The following is a 10,910-nucleotide window of genomic DNA, read 5'->3' as shown; positions in this document are numbered from 1 at the left end:
CTTCCTTTGAGGTTTTCAAGGTGTGTATGGGAACATGAAGAAGTATTGGCAATAATGGAATGGTTTCTTAAGGGTTTTTCTTTTTGCATTAGATCACAAAACCAACAATTATTTGGTTTCTTGCTAGAGCACAAGCTTTTGCTAAAGCCATCTGCAGGTTATTGTCCCATGAATTTTCCTGCATGAAAAGAGAAAGGGTGAGAACAGCAGAAAACAGGAGGAAAATTAAGGTCTTCATAATTGCAGAGAAATCTTGGTCCATGATCTTAGGAAAGCTGTCCATGTATTACAATGCCATCTGTTTCTCGGAAAGAATTTCTTTGGTTAGCTTTACCTTAGAGTCTCCAACAGGTGTGCAGTTCCAGGAGCCTGGAGGGGCCCTCTTAAGTTGTGACTTGTAGACCCAAGATTTGAGTCTCTTGAGCTTTGCTGTGGTGAGGGTGGAGAAAAAAACTTGGTAGGGTTCTTTTTATTTAAAAAAATTATTTTAGGCAGAACGTGGTGGCTCACGCCTGTAATCTGAGCATTTTGGGAGGCCGAGGTGGGCTGATTACCTGAGGTCGGGAGTTCGAGACCAGCCTGGCCAACATGGCAAAACCTCATCTCTACTAAAAATACAAAAAAAGTTTAGCCAGGCATGGTGGTTTGTGCCTGTAATCCCAGTTGCTTGGGAGACTAAGACAGAATGGCTTGAACCCAGCAGGCAGAGGTTGCAGTGAGCCGAGATCGTGCCACTGCACTCCAGCCTGGGTAACAGAGGGAGACTCCATCTCAAAAATAAATAAATAAATAAAAATTATTTTAGATTCAGGGGTACATGTGTAGGCTTGTAATACAGGTAAACTAGTGTAATGAGAGTTTGATGTAAAGATTATTTTGTCACCCAGATACTAAGCCTAGTACCCATTAGTTATTTTTTCTGCTCCTCTCCCTCCTCCCAGCCTTCACCGTTTGTTAGGCCTCAGTGTCTGGTGTTTCTCTCTTTATGTCCATCTGTTCTCATAATTTAGCTCTCACTTATAAGTGAGAACACGCAGTATTTGTTTTTCTGTTCCTGCGTTAGTTTGCTAAGGATAATGGCCTCCAGCTTTATCCATGTTATTGCAAAGCACATGACCTCGTTCTCTGTTATGACTGCATAGTATTCCATGATGTATAAGTACCACTTTTTTTTCAACCAATCTGTCATTGGTGGTCATTTAGATTGATTCTTTGTCCTTGCTATTGTGAATAGTGCTGCAGTGAACATATGTGTGCATGTGTTTTCCGTTATGATTGTTGTGAGATGGTATCTCATTGTGGTTTTGATTTGCATTTCTTTAATGATAAGTGATATTGAGATTTTTTTTCATATGATTGTTGGCTGCGTGTATGTCTTCTTTTGAAAAAGTTTATGTTCATGTCCTTTGTCCACTTTTTAATGGAGTTGTTTTTTTCTTGTAAATTTGTTTAAGTTCCTTATAGATACTGGATATTAGACCTTTGTTAGATGCATAGTTTTCAAATATTTTCTCAAATTCTGTAGGTTGTCTGTTTACTGATAGTTTATTTTTGCTGTGCAGGAGCTCTTTAGTGTAATTAGATCTCATTTATAATTTTTTGCTTTTGTTGCAGTTGCTTTTGGCATCTTCATCATTAAATCTTTGTGAGTTCCTGTGTCCAGAATGGTATTGCCTAGGTTGTCTACCAGGTTTTTTAAAAATAATTTTGGATTTTACATTTAAGTCATTAATCCATCTTGAGTTACTTTTTGTATATGATGTAAGGAAAGGGTCCACTTTCAATCTTCTGCATACGGCTAGCTAATTATTCTAGCACCATTTATTGAATAGGGAGTCCTTTCCCAATTGCTTTTGTCAGCCTTGTTGAAGATCAGATAGTGGTAGGTGTGTGGCCTTATTTCTGGGCTCTCTATTTTGTTCCATTGGTCTGTGTGTCTGTTTTTGTACCAGTTCCATGCTGTTTTAGTTGCTGTAGCCCCGTAGTATAGTTTGAAGTCGGGTAGCATGATGTCTCCTACTTTGTTCTTTTTGCTTAGGATTGCCTTGGCTGTTCAGGCTGTTTTTTTTATTATTATTATTCCAAATGAATTTTAAAATCTTTTTTTATAGTTTTGTGAAGAATATCATTAGTAGTTTGATAAGAATAGCATTGAGTCTATAAATTGCTTTGTGCAGTATGGCCATTTTAGGGATCTTGATTCTTCCTATCCATGGGCATGGAATTTTTAAATTTTTTTTTCATCTCTGATTTATTTGAGCAGTGTTTTGTAATTCTACTTGTAGAGATTTTTCGCCTCCCTCATTAGGTGTATTCCTAGGTATTTTATTATTTTTGTGGCAATTGTGAGTGGGATTATGTTCCTGATTTGGGCCTCTACTTGGCTGTTGTTGGTGTATAAAAATAGTAGTGATTTTTGTATATTGATTTTGTATCCTGGGACTTTGCTGATGTTGCTTATCAGCTCAAGGAGATTTTGGACTGAGACTATGGTGTTTTCTAGATATAGAATTAGTCATCTTCAAACAAGGATAGTTTGACTTCCTATTTGGATGCACTTTATTTGTTTCTCTTGCCTGATAGCTCTGGTTAGGACTTCCAGTATTATGTGGAATAGGACTGGTGAGAGAGGGCATCCTTGTATTGTTCCAGTTTTCAAGGGGGATGATTTTAGCTTTTGGCCATTCAGTATGATGTTGGCTGTGGGTTTGTCATAAATGGCTCTTATTGTTTTGAGGTATGTTCCTTCAATAGCTAGTATGCTGAGAGCTTTTAATGTGAATGGATGTTGAATTTTATTGAAAGTCTTTTCTGCCTCTATTAAGATGATCATATGGGATTTTTTTTCTGTTAATATGATGAATTGCATTTATTGATTTACATATGCTGAACCAACATTGCTTCCCAGGGATGAAGCTTACTTAGATCGTGGTGGATTCACTTTTTGATGTGCTGCTGGATTCCATTTGCTACTATTTGGTTGAGGATATTTGCATCAATGTTCGTCAAGGATATTGGCCTGAAGTTATATTTTTCGTGTATGACCCTGCCAGGTTTTGGTATCAGGATGGTGCTTACCTCATAGAATGAATTGGGGAGGAGTCCTTCATCCTCAATTTTTTTTGTAATAATTTCAATAAGAATGGTACTAGATCTTTTTTTGTACATCGGTAGAATTCAGCTGTGAATCCGTGTGGTCCAGGGCTTTTTTTGATTAGTAGGCTATTTATTACTGATTCATTTTGGATCTCATTATTGGTCTGTTCAGGGATTCAATTTTTTCCTGCTTCAATTTTTGGAAGGTGTATGTGTCCAGGAATTTATCCATTTCTTCTTGATTTTCTAGTATGTGTGCATAGGGGTTTTCATAATAGTCTCTGATAGTTATTTGTATTTCTCTGGAGTCAGTGGTAAGATCTTTGGCATTTCTGATTGTGTTTATTTTAATCTTCTTCATTTTCTTTTTCATTAGTCTAACAGCCTATCTATCTTATTAATTTTTTCAAAACATCAGTTCCTGGCTCTGTTCGTCTTTTGAATGGCTTTTAATTTCTCCATTTCTTTCACTTCAGCTCTAATTTGGGTTATTTCTTGTCTTCTGCTAGCTTTTGGATTGCTTTGCTCTTGCCTCTCTAGTTCTTTTCGCTGTGATGTTAGACTGTTAACTTGAGATCTGTTTCACTTTTCAATGTCGGTATTTAGTGCTATAAATTTCCCTCTTAACACTGCATTAGCTGTGTCTTAGAGATTCTGGTATGTTGTATATTTGTTCTCATTCACTTCAAAGAAGTTCTTGATTCCTGCCTCAATTTTATTATCTACCCAAAAGTCATACAGAAGTGAGTTGTTTAATTTTTATGTAAATATATGGTTATGAGCTATTTTGTTCATATTGAATTCTACTTTTACTGTGCTGTGGTCTGAGGGTCTGGATTTTTTTAAAAATTTGCTGAGGATTGTTTAATGTCTGATTTTGTGGTCTATTTTAGAGTATGTGCCATGTACAGATGAGAAGAATGTACATTCTGTTGCTTTTCAGTGGATAATTCTATAGATGTCTTAGATCTTAGATGTATAGATCCACTTAGTCCTGTTTTGAGTTAATATCTTTGTTAATTTTCTGCCTCAGTGATCTGTCTAATATTGTCAGTGGGGTGTCAAAGTCTCTCACTATTATTGTGTGGAAGTCTAAGTCTCTTTGAATGTCTCTAAGAACTTGTTTATGGGCCGGGCGTGGTGGCTCACGCCTGTAATCCCAACACTTTGGGAGGCCGAAGGGGGTGAATCACCTCAGGCCAAGAGTTCGAGACCAGCCTGGTCAACATGGTGAAACCCCGTCTCCACTAAAAATACAAAAATTAGCTGGGCTTGGTGGCCGCCTCCTGTAATCTCAGCTACTTGGGAGGCTGGGGCAGGAGAATCACTTGAACCTGGGAGGCGGAGGTGGCAATGAGTAGAGATTGCACCACTGCACTCCCCCTGGGTGACAAGAGCAAGACTCTGTCTCAAAAAAAAAAAAAAATAGAATCTGGGTGCTCCTGTGTTGGGTGCATATATGTTTAGGACAGTTAGCTTTTCTTGTTGAATTGAACCCTTTATCATTATGTAATGCCCTTCTTTGTCTTTTAAAATTTTTGTTGACTTAAAGTCTGTTTTGTCTGAAATCAGGATTGCAACCCCTGCTTTTTTTCTGTTTGCCTTTTGCTTGGTAGATTTTTCTTTGTCATCTTATTTTGAGCCTATGGTTGTCATTGCGTGTTACATGGGTCTCATGAAGATACCCTTGGGTCTTGGTTCTTTATCCAGCTTGCCACTCTGTGCCTTTTAATTGGGGCATTTAGCCCATTTACATTCAATGTTAGTAGTGATATTATGGATTTGATCTTGTCATTGTGCTGTTAGTTGTTCATTATGCCGACTTGTTTGTAGGATTCTTTCTAATGAGGTTCAAGGGCAGTCTTTCTCTGATATCATTTCCAGAATACCCAGTCTCCAAGGTTCTAGATTTTGGGAGGTCTGGTTTTCATCAGTTCGTGGGCCACAAAAAGCTTTGTTTACTTAATGAAAATACTCTCTGGCATAATGCATCCGTAATACCTTATAATTTGCCCAGTAAAATGTTTTTTTGTTTGTTTTTTTTTGTTTTTTTTTTTTTTTTTGAGACGGAGTCTCGTTCTGTCTCCCAGGCTGGAGTACAGTGGCATGATCTTGGCTCACTGCAAGCTCTGCCTCCTGGATTCACACCAGTCTCCTGCCTCAGCCTCCCAAGTAGCTGGGACTACAGGCGCCCGCCACCACGCCCGGCTAATTTTTTTTCTTGTATTTTTAGTAGAGATGGGGTTTCCCCGTGTTCGCCAGGATGGTCTCAATCTCCTGACCTTGTGATCCACCCACCTCGGCCTCCCAAAGTGCTGGGATTACAGGTGTGAGCCACCACGCCCAGCCTAAAATGTGTTTTTCTGTCACTGAAATTTTCTCCAGGGATTCCCCGTAAAGGGAAGGAAACATACCTTCTAAAAGCTTTCCAGTCACTTTCACAGCATCAGTGCTCCTACATGTAAAAGCTTCTGTCTAACCAAAAAACATTCAGACCATTTCAAGTATATACATACATAGTTTAATATTTATTTACTATTAAATTAAATAAAGATGAAGGTGGCAACTGAATAAAGTCTATCAGTAGATATTCAAATTACCCTTCAGGTTGTGGAAATGCACCACCTGAAGTTTTTATTTTCTTCCAAGGATTTTGCATTTCGAAAACCAGACATTGATTACAAACTATTGTAACTATTTTAAAACAGTTACTTCACCAATTATTTTTTCAATTTGGATCAGCTTGCCCATTCCATGATGAGTTGTGGAGTGCAAGGCTTTTTAAAATTATTAAAGTGGTGAATTACTTCAATTGATTTTCTAATGACATACCAGTCTTATGTTCCTCAATTAAATCTAACTTGCTGGATTCACTTTGCTATTATTTTATTTAAATATTTTGCCTACAGTGCTCATTATCTGGATGATGGGGTCATTTGTACCCCAGACCTCAGCAATTAGGCAGTGCACTCAGGAAACTAACCTGCATATGCACCCACAAATACAAACGGTAAAAAAACGGTCTATATATGCATGAATGATATTGGCTAGTACATTTTTCTCACATTATTTTTCTCAGGTTTTAGAATCATAGTTATGCAAGTGTTATATATTATGAAAAACTTCAGGTATTATGGTAGTACTGGCTTCACTGAAAGTTCAGGAGAACTTACAAAGCTGATAGACCTCGGATTTGGGAGTGGACGATTTTTGACTTCTCATTCAATTTAATGAAAGTTATACAACTACTCATAAGCTGTGGCTCTTTGTGAGTCCGTTTGATAAGCTATAGTTTTCAAGGAGTTGTCCATAGCATATGAAGTATCAAAATTTGTTGATGTAATACAGTTAAAAATAAGTTTTATTATCTTTACAAGGTCTACAGCATCATATTTAGGTGCCAATTTTTATTACTAGTATTGTTTATGCCTTCACTTTTTTCATCCTAATCATCTTGCCAAAGGCATATCAACTTTTGGCCGGGCATGGTGGCTCACACCTGTAATCCCAGCACTTTTGGAGGCCAAGGCAGCTGGATCATTTGAGGCCAAGAGTTAGAGACCAGCCTGGCCAACATGATGAAACCCCATCTCTCCTAAAAATTCAAAAACTAGTCAGCTGTGGTGGCACTTGCCTGTAATCCAAGCTACTAGGGAGGCTTAGGCACAACAAACACTTAAACCTGGGAGACAGAGGTTCCAGTGAGCCAAGATAGCACCATTACACTCTAGCCTGGGTGACAGAGGGAGACTCCGTCTCAAAAAAAAAAAAAATGACATAACAATTTTATTAATCTTTGCAAATAATAAATGCTTGGTTTAGCTGATACATTGTATTGCATTTCTATTTTATTAATTTCTACTGTAGTCCTTCTATTTTTCTTCCACATCCTAGATTTATTTTTTATTTTTAAATATTTTTTATTTCTTTTTATTTCCAACTTTCATTCAAGGTTCAGGGATTATGTGAGATGGCCAGACACATGTAAACTTAGAGAAATGGGGCCTTGGTGGGCAGATTATTTCACCATCCAGGCAATAAGCATCATACCTGATAGGTAGTTTTTTGATCCTCAACATCCTCCCACACCCCATGCTGAAGGAGGCCCAGGTGTCTTGTTCTCTTCCTTGTGTCCAGGTGCAGTCAGTGTTTAGCTCTCACTTATAAGGGAGAAGGTGTGATATTTAGTTTTCTGTTTTTGCATTGATGTTCTTAAGATAATGACCTCCAGCTCCATCCATGTTGTTGCCAAGGACATTATCTCATTTGTGTTCTGACAGTGTGGTATTCTGTGGGGCATATGTACCACATTTTCGTTAGTCCAATATTGATGGGCATTTAGGTTGATTCCATGTTTCTTCTATTGTTAATAGTGCTGCAAATGAAACTATGTGTGCATCTGTCTTTATGGTAGAACAATTTATATTCCTTTGGATATATACCCCAAAATAGGATTGCTGGGTAGAATGGTAGTTCTTTTGTATGTTCCTTGAAAAATCTCCAAACTTCTTTCCACAGTGTATGAACTAATTTACATTCCCACTTGCAGTGTATAAGTACTCTGTTTTCTGTGAAACCTCAACAGCATTTGTTATATTTTGACTTTTTAATAATAGCCATTCTGAGTGGTGTGAGATGGTATCTCATTGTGGTTTCAATTTGCATTTCTTTGGTTTTGATTTGCATTTATTTTATAATCAGTGATGTTTACTTCTTTTATATGCTTGTGGACCACGTGTATGTCTTCTTTTAAGAAGTGTCTGTTCATGTCATTTGCCCATTTTTAATAACTTTTTTTTTGTTTTTTGCTTGTTAATTTGTTTAGGTTCCTTATAGATTTGAGATGGTAGACCTTTGTCAGATGCATGGTTTGAAAAAATTTTCTCCTATTCTTTAGCTTGTCTGTTTATTACTCTATTGATAGTTTATTTTGCAGTGCAGAAACTGTTTAGTTTAATTAGGAATGATTGATCAATTTTTGTTTTTGTTACAATTGCTTTTGGAGTCTTTGTGATGAAATCTTTGCCAAGGCCTATATCCAGAATGGTATTTCCTACGATTTCTTCTAGGGTTTGTATAGGTTTGGGTTTTACATTTAATTCTTTCATTCATTTTGAGTTGATTTTTGAATTAATGTTAGGGAAAGGAAGGGGTCTAGTTTCAGTCTTCTGCATATGACTAGCCAGATATGCCAGTGCCATTTATTTTATAGGCAGTCCTTTTCCCATTGCTTGCATTTGGAGACTTTGTCAAAGATTAGGTGGTTGTAGGTGTGTGGCTTTATTTCTGGGTTCATTAACCTGTTCCATTATTCTGAGTGTCTGTTTTTGTACCAGTACCATGGTTTTTTGCTTAGCGTAGCCTTGTAGTATAGTTTTAAGTCAGGTAATGTGATGCCTTCTGGTTTGTTATTTTGGCTTAAGATTGCTTTGGCTATTCAGGCTCTATTCATTCCATATAAATTTTAAAATAGATTTCTCCGCTTCTGTTAAACATGCCATTGGTAGCTTGAAAGGAATAACATTTCTGTAATTTGCTTTGAGCAGTATGTCCATTTTAACAATATTCATTCTTCCTATCCATGAGCATGGAATGTTTTCCACTTGTGTCATCTCTGATTTCTTTCAGAAGTGTTTTGTAATTTTCATTGTGGATGTCATTCACCTCCCTGGTTAGATCTATTCCAGGGTGTTTTATTTTGTTGCCGCTCTTGTGAATGGGACCGTGTTCTTGATTTAGATCTCAGCTTGGCTATTGTTGATGTATAGAAATGCAACTGATATTTGCACATTGATTTTGTGTGCTACAAGTCTACTGAAGTTGTTTATCACTTCCAGAGGCTTTTGGGCGGAGACTATAGGGTTTTCTATGTATAAAGTCATATCATCTGTGAAGAGAGATAGTTTGTCTTCTCTTCCTATTTGGATGTATTTTATTTTTTTCTCTTGCCTGATTGCTCTGGGTAAGGCTTTTAGAACAATGTTGAATACGAGTGGTGAGAGTGGGCATCCATGTCTTGTGCCAGTTTTCCAGGGGAATGCTTCTAGTTTTTGACTGCTCAGTACGATATTGGATATGGGATTTTCATAGATGACTCACTATTTTGAGGTATTGTCCCTCAGTGCCTAGTTGAGGGTTTTTAACATGAAAGGATGTTGACTTCCATCTAAATCTTTTCTTTGTCTATTGAGATGATCATGCGATTTTAGTTTTTAGTTCTGTTTATTTGATGACTCAGATTTATTGATCTGCATATATTTAACCAGGCTTGTATCCTAGACATAAAGCCTACTTGATCATGGTGGATTAGCTTTTTGATGTGCTGCTGAATTTTTTCTGCTTGTATTTTCCTGAGGATTTTTGATGTATGTTCATCAGGGATATTGGCCTGAAGTGTTCTTTTTTTGTTTTGTCTTTGCCAGTTATTGGCATCAGGATGATGCTGGCCTTATACAATGAGTTAGGGTGAAGTCTGTCTTCCTCAATTTGTTGTAATAGTTTTCATACGATCGGTTCCAGCTGTTCTTTATGTCTGGCAGAATTCAGCTGTGAATTCATCTGACCAGGGCTTTTTCTGATTGATAGGCTTTTTATTAGTGATTCAATTTTGGAAATTATTACTCTATTTAGAGTTCAATTTCTTCCTGTTTCAATCTTGGGAGGCTGTATGTTTCCAGGAATGTATGCATTTCTTCTTGGTTTTCTACTTGGGTACATAGAGGTGTTCAAAATAGTCTCTGAGGGTTTTCTGTATTTCTGTGAGGTCAGTGGTAATGTCCTCTTTGTTATTTCTGATTGTGTTTATTTCAGTCTTCTCTGTCTTTTTCTTTATTAGTCTAGCTATGGTCTATTAATATTGTTTATTTTTCATAGAACCAATTTATGGTTTCATTGACCTTTCGTATATTTTTTTGCATCCTAGTTTTCTTCAGCTTAGCTCTGATTTTGCTTATTGCTTCTCTTCTGCTAGTTTTGGTATTTGTTTGCACTGGTTTTTTAGTTACCCTAGGTGTGATATTAGATTGTTAATTTGAAGTCTTTCTAACTTTTTGATATGGGCATTTAGTACTAAATACTTTCCTGTTAAATCTGCTTTAGTTGTGTCCTAGATATTCTGGTATGTTTTTATCTGTTTTTCAATAATTTCACTAATTTCAAGTAACACTTGATTTCTGCCTGAATTTTAATTTTTACCCAAAACTCATTCAGAAGCAGGTTAATTTCTATGTAATTGTATGGTTTTGAGAGATCTTCTTATAGTATTTATTTCTGTTTTTATTGCACTGTGTTCAAAGAGTGTGGTTGGTATGATTTTACATTCTTTCAATTTGTTGAGAATTGTTTTATTCTTGATTGTGTGGTCAAATTTGAAGTATATGCCACATGCAGATGAAAATGTATATCCTCTTTTTTTTTGGCTTTTTACGAATTTCAACTTTTATTCTGGATATAAGGGATACATGTGCAGGTTTGTTACATGGGCATATTGTACTCAGGTAGTAAGCATGGTACCCAATTGGTAGTTTTCTAACCTATGACCCCCTCTTTCCCTCTCCCCTCTAGTAGTACACAGTGTCTATTGTTCCCACGTTTGCGTCCATGTGTGCTCAATGTTTAGCTCCCACTTATGAATGAGAATGCACAGTATTTTGGTTTCCTGTTCCTGCATTAATTCATTTAGGATGGCCTCCAGTTCCATCCATGTTCCTGCAAAGGACATGACTGCATTCATTTTTTTATTGCTGAATAGGATTCCATGATGTATATATATCACATTTTCTTTACCCAGTCCACCATTGATGGGCACCTTACTT

Source organism: Homo sapiens, chromosome X, assembly GCF_000001405.40.
Source record: "Homo sapiens chromosome X, GRCh38.p14 Primary Assembly".
Lineage (NCBI taxonomy): Eukaryota > Metazoa > Chordata > Mammalia > Primates > Hominidae > Homo > Homo sapiens.
The sequence above is the reverse complement of the archived record's forward strand: the minus strand, read 5'-3'. Positions refer to the sequence as shown.